The following is a 24,338-nucleotide window of genomic DNA, read 5'->3' as shown; positions in this document are numbered from 1 at the left end:
CAGAATTATGCTGGCTTCATAAAATGCGTTAGGGAAGAATCCCTCCTTTTCAATTGTTTGGAATAGTTTGAAAAGAAATGGTACCAGCTTCTCTTTGTACCTCTGGTAGAATTCTGCTGTAAATCTAGTCCTGGGCTTTTTCTTTTTTGTTGTTGTTATTTTTGTTTGTTTGTTTGTTTGTTTTTTTGTTGGTAGGCTTTTACTGCCTCAATTTCAGAACTCGTGAATGGTCTATTCAGGGAATCAACTTTTTCCTCATTCAGTCTGGGAAGGGTGTATGTGTCCAGGAATTTATCAATTTCTTTTAGATTTTCTGGTTTATATGCATAGAGGTGTTTATAGTATTCTCTGACGGCTGTTTCTATTTCTGTGGGATCAGTGATAATATCCCCTTTATCATTTTTTATTGTGTCTATCTGATTCTTCTCTTATTAGTCTAGCAAGCTATTTTATTAATTTTTTTTTCAAAAAACCAGCTCCTAGATTTGTTGATTTTTTGAATTTTTTTTGTGTCTCCAACTCCTTCAGTTCTGCCCTGATTTTGGTAACTTCTTGTCTGCTAGCTTAGGGGTTTGTTTGCTCTTGGTTCTCTAGTTCTTTTAGTTGTGATGTTAGGATGTTCATTTGAGATCTTTCTAGCTTTCTGATGCAGACACTTAGTGCTATAAATTTCCCTCTTAACACTGCTTTAACTGCATCCCAGAGATTCTGGTACATTGTCCCTTTGTTCTCATTAGTTTCAAAGAATTTGATTTCTGACTTAATTTCATTATTTATCCAGGAGTCACTTGGGAACAGGTTGCTCAATTTCCATGCAGTTGTGTGGTTTTTAAGTGAGTTTCCTAATCTTGAGTTCTAATGTAATTGAGCTATGGTCTGAGAGACTGTTATGATTTCAGTTATTTTGCATTTGCTGAGGAGTGTTTTACTTCCAATCACAATTGGAATTTTATCAATTTTAGGTCACTTTTACAGTAAGTGCCATATGGTGCCAAGAAGAATGTATATTCTGTTGTTTGTGGATGGAGAGTTATGGAGATATCTATCAGGCCCACTTGATCCAGAGCTGAGTTCAAGTCCTAAATATCTTTGTTAATTTTCTGTGTTGATGATCCGTCTAATATTGACAGTGGGTGTGAAAGTCTCACACTATTATTGTGTGGGAGTCTAAGTCTCTTTGTAGGTCTCTAAGAACTTGTTTTATGAATCTGGGTGCTCCTGTATTTGGGTGCATATATATTTAGGATAGTTAGCTTTTCTTGTTGAATTGAACCATTTACCATTATGTAATGCCCTTCATCTTTTTAAATTTTTGTTGGTTTAAAGCCCGTTTTGTCGGAAACTAGGATTGTGACTCCTGCTTTTTTCTGTTTTTCCATTTGCTTGGTAAATTTTCCTCCATTACTTTATTTTTAGCCTTTGTGTGTCTTTGCACGTGAGATGGGTCTCTTGAATACAGTACACTGATGGGTCTTGACTCTATCCAGCTTGCTATTCTGTGTCTTTTAATTGGGGCAATTAGCCCATTTACATTTAGAGTTAATATTGCTATGTGTGAATTTGATCCTGTCATCATGATGCTAACTGGTTATTTTGCAGACTTGTTGGTGTAGTTGCTTCATAATGCCATTGGTCTTTGTACTTCAATGTGTTTTTTTAGTGGCTGGTAACAGTTTTTCCCTTCCACAGTTAGTGCTTCCTTCAGGAGCACTTGCAAGGCAGGCCTAGTGGTAACAAATTCCCTCAGCATCTGCTTGTCTGAAAATGATTTTATTTCTCCTTCACTTAGGAAGTTTAGTTTGGCTAGATATAAAATTCAGGGTTGGAAATTTTTTTAAGTTGTTGAAAATTGGCCCACAATCTCTTCTAGCTTGTAGGGTTTCTGCTGAGGGGGGTCTGCTGTTAGTCTGATGGGCTTCTTTTGCTAGGTGGCCTGAACCTTTCTTTCAGGTTGCCCTAAACATTTTTTTTCTTCATTTTGACTTTGGAAAATCTGATGATTGTGTGTCTTGGGGTTGATCTTCTCATGGAATATCTTACTGGGGTTCTCTGGATTTCCTGAATTTGAATGTTGGCCTGTCTTTCTAGGTTGGGGAAGTTCTCCTGGATGATATTCTGAAGTACGTTTTCCAACTTGGTTCCATTCTCCCTGTCTCTTTCAGGTACCTCAATCATTCATACGTTCATTCTTTTTACATAATCCTATAGTTCATGGCAGCTTTGTTCATTCCATTTCATTCTTTTTTCTCTAATCTTGTGTACCTGTCTTATTTCAGTAAGATAGTCTTCAGGCTCTGAGATTCTTTCCTCCACTTAGTCTATTTCACTATTGATACTTGTGGCTGCATTGTGAAGTTCTTGTGTTGTTTTTCAGCTCCATCAGGTCAATTATGTTCCTCTCTAAACTGGTTATTCTGGTTAACAGCTTCTGTAATGTTTTATCATGGTTCTTAGCTTCCTTGCACTGGGTTAGAACATGCTTCTTTAGCTCAAAGAAGTCCGTTATTACCCACCTGTTTTGTTTTTTGTTTTGTTTTTTGAGATGTAGCCTCACTCTGTCACACAGGCTAGAGTACAGTGGTGTGAGCTCGGCTGACTGCAACCTCCACCTTCCGGGTTCAAGCAATTGTCCTGCCTCAGCCTCCCTGAGTAGCTGGGACTACTGACATGTGCCACCAAGCCTGGCTAATTTTTGTACTTTTAGTAGAGGCAGGGTTTCATCACGTTGGCCAGGATGGTCTCGAACTCCTGACCTCAGGTGATCCATGTGCCTCGGCCTCCTAAATTGCTGGGATTATAGGCCTGAGCCACCTCGTCCAGCCCATTATTACCCACCTTCTGAAGCCTACTTATGTCAGTCAGTTCATTCATCTCAGCCTCAGCCCAGTTCTATGTCCTTGCTAGAAAGGTGCTGCAATCATTTGGAGGAGATGAGGCACTCTGGCCTTTTGAGTTTTCAGCTTTTTACACTGATTCTTCCTCATCTTTGTGAGCTTATCTACCTTTGTTATTTGAGGCTGCTGACCTTTGGATAGGGTTTTGTGGGTATTTTTTTGTTGATGTTGTTGTTGCTTTCTGTTCACTTTTAACAGTCAGGCCCCTCTTCTGTACAGCTGCTGCAGTTTGCTGGGGGGCCACTCCTGGGTCTTTTCCTGCACCTGGAGGTGTCACCAGTGGAGTCTGCAGAACAGCAAGGACGGCTGTCTGCTCCTTCCTCTGGGAGCTCTGTCCCAGAAGGGTAGTGACTTGATGCTGGCTGGAATGCTCTTGCATAAAATATCTGGCAACCCCTATTGGGGGTGTGTGTGTGGGGGGTCTCACCTAGTCAGGAGGCATGGGATCAGCCACTTACTTAATGAAGCACTCTGGCTGCCCTTTGGCAGAGCGGGTGTTTTGTGCTCAGGGGAATCCCCCTTGTCTGGACTGCCTGGCCTCCTCAGAGCCAGCAGGCAGGAAAGACTAACTACTGAGCCTGGAGACCATAGCTGCTTCTCCCCCTGGGGGTCCATTCCAGGTGGATTAGAGTTCGGTCTGTAAACCTCTGGCTGCAGTTGCTGAAATTCCCACAGGGAGGCCCTGCCTGGTGAGGAGGGATGGAGCCCAGTCCCACCTAAAGAAGCAGTCTGGCCACAATCTGCTACAGCTGCTGTGTTGCACTGTGGGGACTTCTTTCCCATCCAAACCACCTAGTCTCCAGGGCACCAGCAGGGGAAAACGGCTGGGGCACAGTGATGGCAGCTCCCCTTCCCCTCTGGAAACTTGGTCATCTCAGGCAGTCTTCAGCATGCTGCTGCTGGCCACGACTCGAGCAGCTGCTGAGAGTCTGCACAGCTCTGTTCTTGGGTCCCAAGACCCTGGTGGCGTGGGCTCACAAGGGTATCTTCTGATCCATGGGTTGCACAGATATGTGGGTAAATCTTGGTTTCCTTGGCAGGGTAGCACAATCGCTCTCTGCTCCTTTGGCTGGGGGCGGGAACTCCCCATTGCCTGTGCTGCTCCCAGGTGGGCCATCACTCCACCCTGCTTATCCTCACTCTCTGTGGGTCACACCAACACCTCATCAGTCCCAGTGAGAGAACCTGGATACCTCAGCTGAAGGTGCAGGATTCACATGCGGTCTTCATTCTTCTCAGTGGGAGCAGCCATCCACAGCTGCTTCTAATCAACCATCTTGACCCCTCCATGTGTGTTTTAATCTTTAAATATTTTGTTTTGCTTTTGCTATGTTATAAAATGAGTGAAAACGTCATTACTGAATCAGAGTGTATAAACATTTTTAAAGTACTTGAAATATATCATGAAGCTATTTTTTTTCAGAAAGACTGTGCCAAGAATGCTAGACCCAGCAAAAATGTTTAAGAAGAATGAGAGAAAAGTCAAATTTTAGAAGAAGGTAACACAGCAAAGGAAAAATTTTAAACTAAAAGCTACTGAATATAAAACGGGTTTTCTTTGAGAGTAATAAGTCTGTCATTAAGAAGATATCCAAGCAGAGGTTGCAAGACCATTTGATTCAGAGGAAGTCCAAACATCGGATGAAATCTGGACTATATGATGATGTGAAAATCATCATCATTATCATCATTGTCAGAAGGAGATGAAGGTAGCGGCTACCATTTCTGGACCTCACTTTATGTCAAGTTCTGTATTAACAGTTAAAAAACATTATCTTACTTATTTACGACCACACATGATGTAGGTGTTAATATCTCAGTTGTGCAGGTAAGAAAACAAGCATTTGAAAGGTTAAACAATTGTTCAAAGATTACTCACTGAACAAATGGTAGCACTAGTTGCCACCCAAGTCCAACAAGGCAGCACATGCTCAAATCCATGTTGTCACACTGCCTCTTGGTATAAGCCACTTCTAAAATCCTCATTTATATATGACTTTATAATTCTATATGCTGGTTTTCATACATGAGACTATCTTACGATAGGCAGAGCCAAGATTTTTTACGGGATAAAATATTTTAAAAGACATAAATACTCTCAATATTTGCATAATTTTCCACTTTATTCTCCTAATGTAAGTTAATTTTTCTGATCCATTCAAGTTTTCTTTCTACCCTCTCCTCTTCCGAACTTCTAAATTCAATACAGCAATGGGCTAGGAGCCCTATACCCACCCTCAAATGGAGTTTGAGGTGAACATGAAGATAAATTCATGATACGGCTTTCCTATTGCTGTAGGTGTGGAACAATAATAGGTGCTTAATAAATGCTATTTTCCTTTCCTTTGCTAGTTCACATTAAGTTATGCAAAAGCATAATCTAATCCTAGCATCCTAAGATGTGAGGTAAAAAGCCTCTTTGAAGAAGTAGGGATGTACAACTTTGTCTAAGAATGAATGAATCCTAAGGAGACCTTTACTCACAAAGTAGTAATAAAGGTTTCCTTAGTACTCATTCATTCGTTCTATCTACTAGTAGTTCCTGCCAAAAACTTGCAGTTATACTTAGCAATTAAAAAGATATCCAATCACATTGAAATAGCATTCAAACATAGAGTTGTATAGCATTAAATCCCTTAACTTTACAACCTTTTGTGCTAATGCATTCAAGTGGTATTTCTAAGACATTCTGCCTTTGGATGTCATGGTTGAATGCTTAATTTAGCATGTATCCTTCTCAATCTCTTTTCTGGACAGCATGATACTTTACCACTTAGAAGCTGTACATCCATGTGGCTGAAAGCTAGAATGTCCTGGGGCTTTCATTCAACTCCCAGATGCAAATATTTATAAAGATGAACATTTCTCATTAATTTATCTTCCTAAGTGATTGTTATCACACTAATCAATTTGTAGTGACTTTACTAGGGTTGCAACCTTCAGTAATGAAATCAGATACAGTGCTGAACACTGTGTGAATTGCTTAACTAATGTCAGCTCCTCTCAGATCAGTGCAACACAAAACCACAAGGAAGTCAAGTGTTGCTTCATTAGTTGTCCTCACTTCGAGTAGTTGACTAATCTTGCTCAACTGGACACTGATCTCTTTTCAATAGGAAAAGCAGAAGGTGATACCCCATAAAATGGAAGCAGCTATGATCCACATAAAAATGACACTGCAGATAATCATGCAGATGAGAGGCCCCCAGAGGTAGTCTACAGACAACAGTCAGATACATCAGAAAACGACCAGTAAGCTGAAGATAACAAAGTGGTGAATGGAAAGGTGCTAAAAACTACATGTGAGGTTCATGAGCATCATGTGAGGTTATGACTCAGTAAAAATGGCAGATCCTATTGGTTGCCTGCCAACCACTCATCCCTCCCACCTTCCTTAATACCAGAACCCCAGTTTCTTTCAGCTGGCAATAACCTCTGTGCTTAAAGAGAGGCAAGCCCTGTGGACTAAATCATCATCTTAGAAATCTTTTTCTTTCACCTTTTCATGCCAATATACTTGATTTCAATTTTTGTGGACATATCAAAGAAAGACTAATTCTTCCTTTAATGCTATGCCTAATATGTTATTCTCTATTCTGTTCTCTGTGCTTTGATGTTATCCAGAAGGGAAATATTAAATGTTTATGAACTGGACCACTTCTAATATCTCTCCCCAGAAAATCAAGACATAGCCCCATTGCAGGAAAAAAAAAAAATCGTACTCTTAAGTTAGACATTAAATAGATGGTTTTAAAAAAGGTCTTTATAAACTGACAACTTATTATTAACATTATTCAGATACTCTTACTATATGATTCCATTTATATAAAGTTCTAGGAAATGCACATGGGTGTGGAAGTAGGAAGGATGCAGCAGGATGGGGGGATTAAAATGGAGCAAGGAGAAATTATCAGGGGTGACGGATACATTCGTTATCTCGATTGTGGTGGTTTCATGTGAACAGACATATTTTAGAACTTATCAGATTGTAACTTATCAGAAGTGTACTTCAGGAAAGCTATTAAAATTTTAAATATAAGATATACAAAATAAACAATATAGGCATGCATTACTTCATGAGGATACATTATGAGAAACATGTCATTAGGTGATTTTGCCATTGCATGAACATCATAGAGTGTCCTTACACCAACCTAGATGGTGTACTCTACTACACACCCAGGCTGTATGGCATGGCCTATTCCTCCTAGGCTACAAACCTTTATGGCATGTTCCTGCACTGAATATTGTAGGCAACTGGAACAGCGGGAAGTATCTATCTAAACATAGAAAAAGTACAGTAAAAATACATATGGTGTTATAATCTTATGAGACCATCATTGCATCAGTACAGAATAGTATTCAAGGTATGGTTTTGTTGAAAAATACATATGCATGGAAAATGTTTGATAAAACAGTCAATTGTTCCTTTTTTTTTTTTTTTTTTTTTTGAGACAGAGTCTCACTGTCATCCAGGCTAGAGTGCAGTGGCACGATCTCAGCTCACTGCAAGCTCCACCTCCTGTATTCAAGTGATTCTCCTGCCTCAGTCTCCGGAATAGCTGGGATTACAGCTGCCCGCCACCGTGTCTGGCTAATTTTTGTATTCTTAGTAGAGACAGGGTTGCACCATCTTGGCCAGGCTGGTCTCGAACTCCTGACCTCTTGATCCACCTACCTCAGACTTCCAAAGTGTTGGGATTACAGGCATGAGCCACCACACCCAGCCAAAACAGTAAATTCTTAACAGTGCTTGCCTCTGCAGAATAGACTTAAGAGACACTTTCATTTTCAGTGATTCGCTGGTTCAGTTTCTCAAACATCTACTGATCATGTACTATGTGCTAGGTACAGCAAGAGGTCTGAGGAATACAGTGGGGAAAATCCAGACAATCTGCTGCTCTTCCAAACATATAAACATGATAAGAATGTGAAAGAATGACAGTTATAAGGAATAAAAACCAATGTGCTGTTTATATACGACTATTATGCTAAATGGACTGATTGGGTGAAGGAGGTCTTTCTAAACAGGTGACATCTGAGCTGATACAAAGATGAACAGAAGGAGCCCTCAATGAAAACACCTAATAATGCATTTTACAGGACTTAGTGAGGACTTTAGATTGTATTCCAGATGCAACAGGAAACCAATGGGAAATCCTTTGTGAAGAGGTGGAGCGATTTGACATTTTGAAGACTACTTTGGCTACAATTTGTATAATGAAGCTAAAAGGGTAAGGCAGCAGACAGCGAAGAGACTGTTGCAATGGTGCAGGTGAGAACAGACAGTGGCTTGACCTAAGGTGTGGTGTGTGATGCAGAAGAGTGAATGAATTTGGGCACAGGTTTCAGGTAGAGCTCACATGACTTACGGATTTTATTATGTATGCATATCTGTGTATTTTCTCCTTCAGTTAGAAGATACTTCTTTTGTTGTTAGAAACATGTAAGGCTATAAAACTTTACTATTTTTGAAAAAAAGTTATTAAAACCAATGGAAAATAGTGAATTTGAGGGCTTTTTATTTTCTTTAAACAGTGATTTGAAAGCACTGCATATAGCTCATGTATTTCAGTATTAAGGTAAGTAATTAAATATAAACGTAAGTATTGTTACTTTTTAAGCTTACAAGCAGGTATATCTCTCAGTTAGGATCAGCTGTCTGTCAATTTCCAGAGAGGCTTGCTAACACATTTGCTAGACATCCAATTCCTGCATACAGACCCAACAGATGCACCCAGTACCCTGTTTTCAAGTCTTCTAAAACACATTTCCTAATATCCTGACATGACTAATTCTATACCAAGGAAACTTATTTCAGGATGTTTTACTCAACACATATCAACTGTTCTTCTTATGTTCTTAAAATCTACCTTTTACCACTTCCAGTCTCATAAGAGCATTTATATATTTATGGAATTATTCCTAATATAGATTAGAAGGGTTGGTGAATGACAGCCTGTGGCCTATTTTTGTATGACTCCCAAACTAAGAATGCTATTCAAGTTTTGAGAGCTGTAAAAAAGAAAAAAAAAGTTTAAAATAAAACTAAAATATTTACTTTCTGGCCCTTTACAGAAAAGGTATGCCAACATCCATAGAAGGAAATGACTAAACTAAACTAGTGAGTTAAACAAGTTTAATACAGGTAAGACTATTAGTCTAAAGTTCAACTAGAAATAGGTCAATGACAACTAACCAAATTGCCAGGTTGGGAAAACAAGATATAAATTAAGAGCAATGCATATAACAGATATTTTTTAAATGCTTTAAACTGTCTCTATTCTGTCCAAGGCAGAATTATCATCTGACTCTCCACGTTACAGGGTCACCTCATTACTCCTTCTAGGGTATAGGTTTCTCAATGACAGTAAATATGTTCACAATACTCTGTGTACTTTAAGTACCCAAGACAATATGCTATAGGTTCCAGTTACATTTTATAAATAATCATTGTATGGCTAAATTCATTTGCTATTTTTGATAGTTTTAACATCCTTGTTCCCTCTCTTTTACTAAGCACACAAGAAAGTAAACTTATTTGAAATTTAGTAGTGGTACCAGTTTAATACAATTCAAGATTTTGTATAACATTCAGATAAAATCAGCCACTGCACCAAGTTGCTGAATTTCAATAATTATGCTAATCAATGCACACAATGCAAGTAGTGCTTTGGGGGAACTTTCACATTATGCCTTGCTCACAGGTGAAGGGGGATCAATCCAAGGCAGAGCAAATGCATTAATAATCCTTTTCAACCAGCAAATTCTACCACTCCACTAAAAAACAAAAATAAAGACTAAATAAATGAAACCAACCAATCGAAAAATAAAACCACTAAAAGAAACCCACACAACTTGGAATAACAGTGGTTAACAAAGGCAAGGTATGTATGTAGGAATCACTGCTACAGCAATAAAGAAGGAATGAAAGGAAAAGCTTAGGTAGGAAATAATGGTTAACAGAGAAGGCTTGAAATCTTTGTCCTGCTACAAGTATGAAGCTTTTTACATGAAACTTCTCCAAGCCTCAATTCTTTAATCTATAAAATAGAGGCAACAATAGTCCCCACCTCAGTGGACAAATCTGTGAACTAAATTAGATAATGATACTGCATGCAGAACAGCAATGTGCCTAGAACAGGGTACACACTCTGTAGTGATTATTTAAATACCATTTCAGAATGTAGCTGTTGATATTGAATTAATTTTTTTTTTGAGATGGAGCCTTGCTCTGTTGCCCAGGCTGGAGTCCAGTGGCGTGATCTTGGCTCACTGCAGCCTCCACCTCCTGGGTTCAAGCAATTCTCCTGCATCAGCCTCCCTAGTAGCTAAGATTACAGGTGCTCACCACTACACTTGGCAAATTTTTGCATTTTTAGTAGAGACAGGGTTTCACTATGTTGTCCAGGCTGGTCTCAAACTCCTACTTCAGGTGATCTGCCCACCTTGGCCTCCCAAAGTGCTGGAATTACAGGTGTGAGCCACTGTACTCAGCTTGATATTGAATTGATCCTAACCAACACTGGCTACACAGTGTAAAGTCTTAATGAAAAACAAAATTCTAGTTCTTCAGTTCTGTGTTTCTAAAAATGGCTTTGAAGTACTTGATGAATAAAATAAACAGCAATATTATCTGCATTCATATATTATTTATGGCTGTTCCACATTTGCTGTTTTGCCTTATTTGTGGCACAATCTATAAAGCTGGGTAGCAGGGGTTGAGCAGGAATGGAAAGAGGCTCAGAGAGGTCATCTCACTTGCTTACAGTACCACTGCTGTGATGATACTCAAAGATTCAGAAGAGAAAGCAAATTCATCTTAATACCAGTATTACTCCCCACCCCAATTCTCTGTACTCAGCTGATAGCAAGATCAATTCCTCCAGATTTAGATTCTAGAGCAACAATAATGCCTCCTTCTCTCAGCAGAAACTTACTGGTCGGGACTGGATTTCTTTGGCGTAGAGAGGTTGTAAGAATTCAGAGTCTCCTTCTAGCTTTAGACCTTTTTCTGTGATCCTCAGGTTTCCCATTCCATCCTGAAATAGAACACAGAGATAACAAGGAAGATATGATTAGCCAAAATTTCAAAACACCTCAGGCTGTAAAAAACGTAGTTATAGCCTTTTTTTTTTTTAATTTTTGAAGGTGTGGAATGAGGACGGGTATTCAAAAAACATGTAAAATATTAGGAGGTATTGTTTAATGCAGTTATGCATATTATCTTTTTCACTCTTTCTGAGAAAATTCTATTCCAAGCAATTTGTAATGCCCCCTAGTCATCCACACACACAGATTGGGGTGGGGGGCAATTTTGCTAGGCAGCACAGAAAGAATGGAGGGAGAAGGTAAGTAGGAGGAGAGAAAAGGATAATTCTCCAGGAAAAGTGAAAGATCCTATTTCCAGAACTCTACAGAGATTTCAAGCTGGCAGTCTGTTGGTTAAATCCAGACTTTGGACGTGTGTGTTTGAGTCACAAAACATGTAAAGAGTCAAGTTAGTTGCTAATATTTTTTAAAAATATTTTGTTACGGAAATAATATATGCAAAAGTAGAAAGAACAGATAGCAAACACATATGTACCTATCACTCATCTTCAGCGATTATCAATTTATGGCTATTATTATCTATTACTGCCACCTACACTCCCCTTCTTTGTTTAAATATAACAATAATCCCATTACCACACACACAATCCAGAAGTAACAATCATTCCTTAATATCAAACACCTATTGTCCATGTTCAAATTTCACTAATATGTTTTTTTCTCTCTATAATTTGCTTATTTGAATTAAGTTCCTTACAGCAATTGTTTGCTACATAAAATACTAGGCCAGTTCCTAAAATTTCCAGTCAGTCATTTTCTCTCTCATACATCCACACATATACAAATATATACACATATACTTTATTTGATAAATGTCATTTTAAAAATGGAATTTCCCAGAGTTTAGATTTTGCTGAACATTCCCATAATTTCATATAATGTGTTCCTCTATTCGTTATGTTTCCTGTAAATTGGTAGTTACATCAAGAGGCTTGATCAGATTCAGATGCAATTTTCTAGAAAGACTATATCCTAGGAAATGGGGTATATTAGTTTTCTATTGTCACAGTAACAAATAACAAAACTTAGTGGTTTAAAACACCACAACCTTATTATCTTACAGTTCTGTGTGTTAGAATTCTGACCAGGACACAATGGGCTAAAATCAAGGTGTCAGAAGGGCTATGTCCTTTTCTGGAGGCTCTAAAGGGAGAATCAATTTCCTTTCTCTTTCTGGCTCCTGGGCTCATGGCCTCACTTCCATCTTCAAAGTCAGCAGTGGCTGATTGAGTTTTTCTCATGTAAAACCACTCTTGACTCTGAATCTTCTGTATCCTTCTTCCATTCTCAAGGACCCTTGAGATTTCACTGGGCACATCTGGATAACCCAGGATAACCTCTCCATTTTAAGATCACCTGATCAGTAATTGTAATTCTATCTGCAATCTCAATTGCCCTTTTCCATGTAATATAATACATTCATGGGTTCTGAGATTATACATGAACATCTTTGAGGTGGAGTGAGGCGCAATTTTTTACTTACTTCATGGGAGGTTCTTCTATCAGTAGGCACATAACAATTTTTGCCATGAGGTTATCAGCCAATGTAGTCTTTGCCTAGAGGACCCATGATTTCACTAGAGGTTTCAAACTGGTTATATCCTAATTCTATTATTCTTAATTTACTAGCTGGGAATACTAGCCAGAGAAAGTTCATCTCATCAACTATTTGCTAACTCTGAATTTTAGTTTGTAGAGGAATTGACAGAGTTGGATTTTCCCTCCTTTATTGTTGATCTTTAAAATACTGAATTGGCTATCTAACATCTTCCACCTAGTATCTTCCAAACCAATGAGGTTTTTACTTTTTAACTATGACTATAAACATTTTCATTTGTTTCATTCTAGCCCAATTATTATCCCTATAATTTTCTAATTTCCCTACTTCAGTCAAGGGTTTTTTTCCAGTTGACTGCTGCACCCTTTTAATATAGCCACGTAGTCTTTGATGGCCCTTTTGCTTCTCTATGAGATGTTACAGGGTGATCCTACAGTCCTTCCCCAGGACTGCAATCAGCCATTTTTAGTAAGAAGCCCTGGTTCATTTCAGTGGGAAATGGTATTTAGAAACCACAACTGGGAGCTTTGAATACTGATTGTTACTGGATGAGCCTTTGTTTCTGCGGACGGAACTGGAAAATAAGGGGTGTGTGTGTGTGTGTCTGTGTGTGTGTGTGAGTGTGTGTTTAGTAAAAATAACATGATTTAACATGAAACTTTAACTCAAATTCAGGACTTGAAGATTTCCATTTTATCTCCTGGATTTTATAATGTTACTACCTTTCTTTCATACCAAAAATCCCTTTTCTGAATAATACCAACATGATTATTCATTTAACTCACAACACACACAGAATAGTTTCAGAACACCAATGTCACTATTGTACTAACATTATGGTTAATAAAAATCAATGTAAAATTTGTTAGTTTTTAAAAATCTTTAAAGTATATCCTACTAGGAAAATACAGTCAAACTGTGGAATTTCAAAGTCACTTGAAATAATTCCTTTCTGTGGGGTTATGCTGTTAACATGATACCCAGGGAGGCTGAATTGTTTCAATTTTTCTTCTCATTTTTTCATGACTGTTTTTTTAAAGTCCAATTTTCTTTTATGTAAACTATGTATGTGGCACCAAAGTCAAATCTACAAAATAACAAATATTCAAAGAAGTCAAATTTCTATTTTCATTGCTCCACCGTGTTTTTTCTCCTCCCAGGGGTAGGGGTGTGTGTGTGTGTGTGTGTGTGTTTGGTGTATATACACACACACTATGAACATGCTTTGTTATTTCTTATGTATTCCTCTGTTTTCTAATAACATTTAAAAAGCAAAATATATGAATGAAAAATCCAGGTTTCTAGTTTCTCCAGTGAAACAGGAATGGCCATGCTGGGCCTGCTGTTACGTTGCCAGCATCCACTGAGGTGAGCAGCAGCCGCCCCTGCCTGGACACACCATACAGTCTCTAGTTTGCACAGTCTCCACCCAACCTACCTCACTATGTTATCTATGTTATTTCAGCCTCCTGCAGCTTCTTCTGTCTGCCATTGCTATTGTGCTGTATACCTCAACACGTTCAGTATGGATGCCACACAGGGGGTTGAATGACCAAGTGGAAAATGGGTACTTTTCCCCATCCTGTCTTCATAAATGCACTTCAGCCTGTGGATCAGAACAGATCCTGCAGGTCAAAATTGTTCCTCTATGCCATCTGTATATTTCTATTCTGGCACTCATGGAGACAGCTCTGCCAAGAGAACCCAACTGGGCAATCAAACCCAGTGTGAGAGGCAACAGGCTGGGGGACATGGCACGTGTCTCACCTGCAGCAGGTGGAACCTGCAACAAAGGGAAACACGGCAATGCGGATGTCCAAAGGCACCTCGAACCCTCCCAAAATAGACAGATGGATTAGCTCTTGTTTTGCATTATTAGTGATCATTTCTGATAGCTGGAGAGGCAAACCTTTTCACAGAAACACATATTCAACCTGACTTCGATAAACTGACTGCGCTGCTTCATCTGTCTGCATGCTATGTTGACATTTCTTCCCATTGAGGTCAGAAGACATTGATATGTTTACACGCATATGATTACATGCATGATACGATTACTAAACAAACAAGAACTCCTAAACATTCTTAAATAAAAGATTATATTTGGGGTATTATAGCAAGTCTATTCCAAACAACTCCTTCTTTTCTTACACTACTTACATATATCCCCTTTCCTTAACATTTATTGATGACTGACTTACTATACTCTGTGCTTTTCACGATTTACCTCAGTTCCTTCATTGTTGCTGAAAATTATTATGTTACTTCTTGGATTTCATCGTAAGGAAATAACTGTGTAAATGTGAAAGTATTTAGCTTTAGAGTTGTTCGTCACCATGTCAGTTAATAAGAGAAAAAATAAAAACTATGTAAAGTTGCATGTTACAATAATTGAACACACTATAGGGAATATGATGTAGTTCTTGCAGAGGAATATGTAAGAGTGCAGGCAAATATTCATGATGCATTATTGACTGAAACAATCAGTTGAGGAAATATGTAATGAGCCCACTGAAAAATAACTGTTTAATATATATACACATTGACATATATATATATATATATATATATATATATATACACACACACACCCACATATACTCATGTACATATAACAAAAATTCTCAAGGAAATTTTATTGGAGAAAAATTCTAGGGGGAATTATACTCAAATGTTAATATTTAATACTTTGTATGTCTGAGTTATGAGTGCTTTCTACTTTCCTCTTTTTGCTTATCTGTACTTTATAATTTTTTTTTTTTTTTGAGACAGAGCTTTTTTGCTCTTGTCACCCAGGCTGGAGTGCAACAGTGTGATCTCAGCTCACTGCAACCTCCGCCTTCCAGGTTCAAGTGATTCTCCTACCTCAGCCTCCTGAGTAGCTGAGATTACAGGTGCCCACCACTATGCCTGGCTAATTTTTGCATTCTTAGTAGTGATGGGGTTTCACCATGTTGGCCAGGCTGGTCTCAAACTCATGACCTCAGGTGATCCACCTGCCTCAGCCTCCCAAAGTGCTGGAATTACAGGCATGAGCCACCATGACTGGGCTGTACATTCTAATTTTCTAAAATCTTCTAGAAACACCAATAGTAATTAAAAAAAAACTCTTAAGTAACAAAAAATAAAGTTTTCCTTGGTGATTTATTTTAAAAATCAACACTTACCTAGAATGTACACTATACCTCATGTACTAAGTGCTATACATAAATTATCTCATGTCATCTCTTCAATGTTCTTATGAGATAATTATTATTTTCCTTCTTTTACAAGTGAGCAAATTTGTTAGTAAGTTACTTGCTCAAAATTATATAGCTAGCTAATGACAGAACTAGGAATTTGAACTCAACTGTTTCCAATTCAGACTTTACATTCGTAGTCATTAGGATAATAGCTAAGGGTAACCCAATCCTCAATATACACAAAAGTAATGCCCTTATGGTTCCTGCTGGGTTTCTTATTAATGTCACTTTGATTTTAGCTTACTGGGTAACTGCAGTCAGTGATATTAATAGATAGAACCATCCTTAATCCTAAGCCTAACACCATTCATTTTTATGATAGATACTTTTATTACACCTTCTCAGAGTCGAAGGGATCCTAACTACAACACAACATTCACCCACCCCCAGACATAATCAGAAGGAATCTTCTGCTATTTTTGGAGAGCCCACTGTGTGTATAATCATGTGCTGTGTGCCATGACGAGTTACAAAAAGAGAAGGCCCCTCTAAATCCCATCCTGTAAGACAGTTTATAACATAGGAGGTACCCAGCCAAATAAAAACAGTGAAGGAGGTACAGAAACGACCACAGTTCAAGAAATATAAATCTAATCCAAGCCAAGTAACTCTTTTGCAATAAGTAATTTAATCTTTCCTCATATACATCTTATGGCAGCTAACTCACCTCAAACATGCCAAATCCCCATCATTTTTCCACTTACAGGATTTCCTATTCTTGCTTATGATCAGTTTCACTTTTCTAGCCTACTTCCCTGTCTCTCGGTCTGCCTAATGGTATTTGGTGGGAAAGGTCTATCAAATAGTGTGAATTTTTGTTACTGGCCTCTATTTCCAAAATATAACACAAAACTGATTAGAGTCACCAACTAAATAATATGTTCCCACATTTATAGTCTCCTTTCTAGCTTTGGAACAATGAGGCTGGATTGGAAACCCATCAAAGTACCTTGATATGAGCTTTATTAAAAAACATTTCATCTTTTACTACATAAGAAGTTTTGGGTATTATTAAGATTGGAGTTTGAGGTCAATTAGGAACTACAACTTCTCTCCCAATAAGATGTAAAAGAGGTATTTAGAAGATTGAGAATTGGACCAGGACTGATGGTTCATGCTTGTAATTACAGCACTTTGAGAGGCTGAGGCAGGAAGATTTCTTGAGGCAAGGAGTTTAAGAGCAAACTGGGCAGCATAGCAAGATACCATCCTAAAAAATAAAAATAAAAATTAGTTGGTATGGTAACATATACCTGTAGTCCCAGCTACTCAGGAGGCTGTGGCAGGAAGATCACTTGAGCCCAGGATTGTGAGCTATGATTACATCAATGCTCTCCAGCCTGGGAAAGAGCAAAATCCTCTCTCTAAAAAAATTAAAGAGGGAGGGCTGGGCATGGTGGCTCACGCCTGTAATCCCAGCACTTTGGGAGGCCGAGGCGGGCGGATCACGAGGTCAGGAGATCGAGACCATCCTGGCTAACATGGTGAAACCCTGTCTCTACTAAAAATACAAAAAATTAGCCAGGGGTGGTGGTGGGTGCCTGTAGCCCCAGCTATTCAGGAGGCTGAGGCAGGAGAATGGCGTGAACACAGGAGGCAGAGTTTGCAGTGAGCCAATATTGTGCCACTGCACTCCAGCCTGGGCAACAGAGCAAGACTCCGTCCCAAAAACCAAACAAAAAAAAAAAAAAAGAGAGAATATCATTCCTAGAACAATTAGAAACAGTAATTAGAAAAACAGACAATATCTTATTTTCCTCTTTAAATGGTGAAACTAATTTTCTTAAGGCAAGCATGAAAATTATAGTAGCCCAATAGGGGGATAGCAGGTCTTGACTGAATGAGCGCTGTCCAGTGATGATCCTGAAGTCTGTAAAGTACATCTAAGACAGAAGGAGGAGGCCAGGCTCCCATTGTAATCCCAGCGAAGACAAGAATTCTGAAAGCCCTGCTCATCGCAGGATCACCAGTGACTATTCCCATACAGGGTGCGGTACTCAACTCAGAATAGGAGTTTTCAAAAACACAAGAGCAAATCCTATTACTTTCTCAGTCTAATTTAGAGTCTCCCCTAAGCCCTCAGTTAGAACTTTCAGAAAAGGCAGAGGCTAGGGGCAGGGGAAGGGGGCACAGGTAGGTGGAATCTGGGGAATTACCCTCTGGGCTGGTGCAAAGACTATGGCATTTGCTTTTCATTCTTTATCTGGCCCAGATTGGTTAGTTGTTTTAATAGTTTTCTATAGAAGATGAGTACAGAATAAAGAGAATCAGAGTAGCAGCGCAATAGACTGAAATATTGGTTCTTTCCACATAACTTGTTTTCTTCCTCTTGTCTCCTTCCCCTGACTCCCTTTGTCACCATTTCAGACAGGTTCTTGGGCTTTGTCATTACTTGGCTTAGAGATTTTGAGAATGAAGCAGCAGTAGCCTAACTGCAGTGGGGTTTCCTGTCTTTTATAATCTCATTGAATCTCATTGAATGAACTGTGCTAGATGTGCTGGGAAAGGAGGCAAGAAGTGGAGGAGATATTCTCCCACTGGGATGGGTGGGGGGCAGTAGACAAAAGATCTGTGCCTCCCGTGAATTCTAGAGACCATTTTCCTGCCAGTGTCCCGAGGAGGGGTTAAGGCTTCCAAAGGAAATGGCTGTAGCACTCCAGCCTCGCCAAAGTTTCCCTTCTCCAGGAGAGGCAGAACATTTGGACCTCCAGGGATCATGTAGGTGGCCATTCTCTCAGCATGGCCAGTGCAGGGCAGTGATCAGTGCTCCCAGAGGCCTTCCCACTGGTGCAGGGTAAGATACCAGGATGTCTGCAAAATTCTGAGTGACGTGGACTTCCTGTTGGTTCTTGTGGGATGGGGATGGAAATTGCTATTATGTTGATTTTAAGAAAGTGCTATTTTTCACATTCCACTGGACACTGCTGAAAAGGCATTTCTGATCTGTTCCAGGATCCGCCCCATGCCCAGGACTCCTAGGGATACTAAAGACTGATGAAAAACACCCAGAGTGCATATGTTTATTCAGAAAAAGGCAAACGTTGGTCGTTGTTAGATGAGTAGGTTGCAGACCTATTGTGCAATTTTTGATATTTTGATAGGTGTGTAAAACAGTTTTTCCCACTAATAAAATCTATTAACAGAAAAAAAGTGCGATTTTCTTGCTCCTTTGATTTTCCCCCTGCATCAGCATTGGACGGGTTTTTAATTCTGTCAGCACATTTTCAGGCTTGAAAGTAATGCCAAGACCTGTTTTAACAAACAAGTCTCAAGATAATCTCTTGCTGGAGCAGTTTTAATGGCAGGCATTACTTGGTTTGGATCCAAAACAATTATATACAGATTGCAGTAGAATGTAATCTTCATGAGGGGTGGGATTTTTGACTGTTTTATTCACTGCTGTAGTCTCAGTTCCTAAAAAATGGCTTGGCAATTATTATGCGCTCAGAAAATATCTGTAGAGTGACAGAATTTATTCATTCCAAATGGTTGTATTTTGAAAGGTAGTGTGGGGAATGACAAAAATGTTAACATCTATACCTGTTCCTACATGAGATTCCAATTTATTAGAGTATGTATTCCCAACCAGGGGGATACAGCCCCCAGTGGACAAAAATTAATTATTGGGGGGTTGGACGCATACAAAATTTTTACTCTTTTAATTTAGAAAGCCTAAATATGTTTACATATAAAGTACATATGCAGCATATCTTTAATATCGACATTTCATGGGGTGACAAATAGGGAAAAATGTCTAAACATTCTCTGGGGCAAGGGAGGGTTAATTTTTTTTTAAAGTTGAGAAATAATGTATTCGACTATTATAAAGTTTGAGACTGCTCTAGCTTTCTTCTCTTTATAAATGGTCACTTCTACCTTTAGAATACTGAACCATCTTCTTCGTAGCTCCTCAGACATTAACACTTAACAGAATGATAGCAACAAAAGAAAAGAACAAACTTCTTAATATAATCTTTAGCACACTTCATGACTGCACCTGCTCACTTCTCCATCCTAGTCTCTTACCGGTCTCCCTTCACTCTGTCACAGAACATGCTCGCAATTTTTCCAAACCCCTCCCCTTTTTGAATCTTTGTAAATGTTTTATGCCCTTCCCTTGGCCAGCAATACTCTTCCCAATGCTTCTGCTCCTCTCTGCAGTCCTTTGGTTATGATTAGATGTCTTTTCTGGGTCACATGGGATTTTTCATATCATATCTTTCATCTCATATTTCTGCTCATATCTTATATCACATACATTGTAATTGTCCATTTATATCTATGTCCTCAGTCACTAAACTTCAAATTTCTTGAGATGAGAAATAAGGTGCTACTTATTATTTCATCTTGGGGGCTCAGTACATTGCCTATACCTAAATATCTAATTGCAAGAGAAAAAAAGAAATCGGCTAGAGATTGTTCAGAAAGTGCTCATCCATGTGAATTTTAAAACATGAGTAACAAAAGCTACCATTTCCATACGCGTTAGACAAAGCACATGGTCTGCACTGTATTCATTAACCCTCATTGTAACTAAAAAGGGTAGGCACTATTAGCCCCATTTAACAGTAGAGAAAACCAATGCTTACAGAACCTGGCAGTCTAACTCCAAAACAAAATTCCTTAACCATCACATGCCATGCTACACTATTAAGCTTCTACTGTGTGCCCAGCCCTGTGCTAAACACTAAGACGAAAAGGCAAGAAGAGTTGCAGATTGCATTCCTTCCTTTTGGGAGTTTCCAAAACACATAAACACATACACATACACACACACACACACACACACACACACGTAGCACACATGATGGCAAGAACCTGGAAATATCATGTACTTTCATATACCACTAAGGGGAACATAAAATGTTGCAGTCACTTTGGAAAAGGGCCTGCCTGTTAAGAATTTAAACACGGAGTTACCATATGATCCAGCAATTCCACTCTGGGCTCTCTGCCCAATATAAATAAAAACGTATGTTCACACAAACACTTATACATAAATGTTCACAGCAACATAATTCATCAGAGCCAAAATGTGGAAACCACCTAAATGCCTATTAACTGATGAATGGATAAGTAAAATATTCTATATCCATGCAATGGAATACTATTTAGCAATCAAAAGAAATGAAATACAGGTACATGCTATAACATGGACAAACCTCAAAAATTATGATAACTGAAAGCAGACAGACATAAAAGACCACATATTGCATGATCTCATTCATGTATTGTCCAGAAATGAAAATCTATAGAGACAGAAAGTAGATTAGTGGTTGTCTAGGGCGGAGAAGACTATAAATGGATTCGAGGGATTTTACTGAGGTGACAGAAATACTCTAAAATCAGATTGTGGTGGTAGCTGCATAAAAGCAAATTTACTAAAAATCACTCAGTTGTATACTTAAAATGAGTCAATCTTACAGCATACAAATATAACCCTAACGAGGTGTTTTTTTTTTTTTTTTGTAAGAGAAATATGACGTTCACAGAAAAAAAAGCAATCCAATTCAAGAGACATGCTATGACGTGCTTTGGAATTCCCTGAATCCATAAAGAGAACTGATTTAGAGATAAGTGCTTGGGGAAAGAGGTAGTATGTTAAAGAGGGTAAAACATGACTGTTATTTGTGCACACTTTGTGTGGGTTTACTAAAGGAACATGCTGGGCAACGTTCTGTTTCCATTAAAGTCCAACTTGATGAAGGGTGTCTAGAGTGAAGCAAGCCAGAGCTGAATAAGACACAGAGAATGTTTTGTGATCAAGGCAATTAGACTATGTGACAGGCTACTGAGGCAGCTACTGGCTTTCTTTTCTAGGGAGCATTATAAACGGTGACATCATCAGTCCTGCATGATTAACCCAACAGCAAGGGAAAGGACCAGATGACCCCATCAGTGTCTGGGTCACAGCTGCTGATCCTTTTTGTCATTTGCCATGTAATCTCAACTTCGTTCATATTTTCTTTCTTTGGCCAATGATGTTAATATATAGTTTCCTTTCTTTTCCTTTTTACTCTCTAGTTACCATAATGCTAAAGCTCATATATTGGTTAGATCATTTTCTGTGTGTGTGTGTGTGTGTGAGAGAGAGAGAGAGAGAGAGAAAGCACGCGCACAAGTGAGAGAGCTAGAGAGCATTATACATATGTAACTGTCAAATTGCTTTGCTGCCTCAGTGGATCAAAACTGTAATTTCTCATCTGTTTTATAAAATCTCATAAGGTTGCTTTTAATGATTTACAGATTCAAGGCCATTGTATTTGAATGCTTTCCATATTTCATGGTTTCCAACAGTAATGTATAAACAGGAATTCTTTGCTCTACACTTTCTCTGGGCGTGAGTAAATCAAACAATGGGGATTACCCATGCCTCAACACAGAGAGGGAATAAGTATAATTTTCTTTACTACTGAATTGCCTAGTTTCTACTTTTCCTTTAGAGCTTAGCTATCAATTTCTTTGGGAGTCTTCCTTGATTCTCTTTAGAAACCATCTTTCCTCAATAACAGAAGAACACACGCAGAGAGAGAGAGAGAGAGAGAGAGAGAGAGAGAGAGTGCAGGAGAGTGAGAAAGAAAACGAGGGAGAGCATTTTAATATCCTGGCTAAGAATATAAGCTTTGGAACCAGACTGCAAGTGTTAGAGTGCTGCTTCAACCACTTCCTGGTACGCTTTCTAAGGCTCATGCTCTTCATATGAACATTTACGTAGTCAAGACAATTCTAACTTCTAAATTGAGGATTAAATCAGACAATCCATGCTGCTCAGTCAAAAGAAGTTGGGATATACTACAGTAACAGACAACACAAATCTCAGTGGCTTTGAAGAACAAACATTTATTTTTCACCCAAGCTACATGCCCATGGAGGGTTAAGAGGGTAGTCACTCAGGGATACAGATGACAAAGCAGTCACCATTTTAAGCACTTTGCTGCTCTTTATTTCTTTGGGCATGTGTAGGACTATATTTCCCTACATATGATTGGTTTGGCTAGTGAAAAGCAAGCAATTCAGGGTCAACTCAGAGCTGATGCTTTAAGAACCACTGCATATTTGGCTATATTCTCCTATTATTTTTCTTTGTCTACACAGCAATCTTCCAGCAGGGAGGGGCAAGTATTACAGCTATCTGTTTTATCCTAATCTCATGTCATAATCCCCGACTCAGAGAAGACAGATAGTACATTTTGACTTACAGATGAAAAGTCTCTATTAGCCAAAAAGAATCACAATTACACCTCCCACATACAGTCGAGTCTGGCTTAAAAGTTAACAAACCCTAGATACTACTTACGCAGCCCAGTACTCTGCTTGCTGGCCATCCAAGAAAACAGTTAGGTCAGCATGGGAATTGCTGTATACTTCTACACATTAAAGATCATCCTTAAGGGATGTTTCTGAGAAATTATAAGCACATTCCATGGAATTACAGGAAGAATATAGCACTTCTGTTCTCAACAGTTCCTCTGGCTGTCAGGTCAAACACAGACAAACCTGTCCTATTTGAATCTGTTTCATCTCACCCATAATAGGTAGTTGGACAGAAGAAACATTAAGGTCATTTGTACTTGTAAAAGAATTCTATTCTATGATGCACAGGAATGAGATGCTACCTGGACAACAACTCATGTAGGTTTTTGTCAGGAAGTGATGCCCACAACTCATACAGGCTACATTTAGGCCCTCTTGGGTGAATTGTAGTTTTGCTAAAGAAATTCTTGGAAAAACTCTTGCAAATCACTCCCAATGAGCACTCAGATTCAGAAAGGACTTAGGGATAAAAACCAATGCCAGCACATTGTTCTGAAACAGAAACTTGTAAGCAACCTTTAAAAAGAGACATTGGTGGGGAATTTATCGATTGTCTGACGGGAAGAAAATGAGAGATGGATAATAAAGTGCAAGTTGCTACATTCCCTGTCCTAGATGAAAAATGTGAGCTTATAAATCCTGAGCTATTGTTGATAAAGGAGGAGACTCATTTATCTTAAGAAGCCACATAAAAGAAAATAAGTGAAATATGATTAGGCCTATGCCAAGTGTTCAGATTAAATTCCTACCATCACAATCCCTGCTGCTGGGTGAGTGCTTCCCACCAGTAAAGTCCGATTAAGATGCTGGCCTGAGTGATATTAAAAATACACACTGTGAAAATCCCTCCCAGAATAGATTCCTTCATGGGGTATGTACCCCAAGGGAGCCACCTCTCCTGTCTTCTATTTTCATTTGGAAAAGTTGTCAGTTGTACATGACAGTGTCTTTTATGAGATTTCAAGTTACAGCTTCAAAGGGCCCAGTGCCGTTTTGATACTTGTGAGAAAGGTTTCCAGGGATAAGTTCAGAAATATGAAAGCTAGTATGCGTACACCTGGCACTAGCGCTGTCTTACCTATTAATTTGGCCCTCTCCTCAAGTTATAATGTCCAAATTGGCCTTCCAAAAGATGGCATCAGACATACTCCCAGTCTTTCAGGTGTGTCACCAATTTATGCAATTATGTTTAGCCTTAACTAAAGAGAAGCAGTAGTG

General features: G+C 38.8%; 1 protein-coding gene across 9 annotated transcripts in view; it reads right to left on the bottom strand.

The window, feature by feature from the left end:
- Positions 1-24,338, bottom strand: part of SGCD (sarcoglycan delta) — a 1,039,957-nt gene that overhangs the window by 248,252 nt on the left and 767,367 nt on the right. For all 9 annotated transcript variants that reach the window (XM_047417519.1, XM_047417518.1, XM_017009724.2 and 6 more), the window contains one exon: positions 10,835-10,936. In XM_047417519.1, the coding sequence (XP_047273475.1) occupies positions 10,835-10,936 (102 nt within the window). The remainder of the gene's footprint in view (positions 1-10,834; positions 10,937-24,338) is intronic.

This window comes from Homo sapiens, chromosome 5 (genome assembly GCF_000001405.40).
Source record: "Homo sapiens chromosome 5, GRCh38.p14 Primary Assembly".
In the NCBI taxonomy this organism is placed as follows: domain Eukaryota; kingdom Metazoa; phylum Chordata; class Mammalia; order Primates; family Hominidae; genus Homo; species Homo sapiens.
This window is presented reverse-complemented; position numbering and strand designations above follow the sequence as displayed.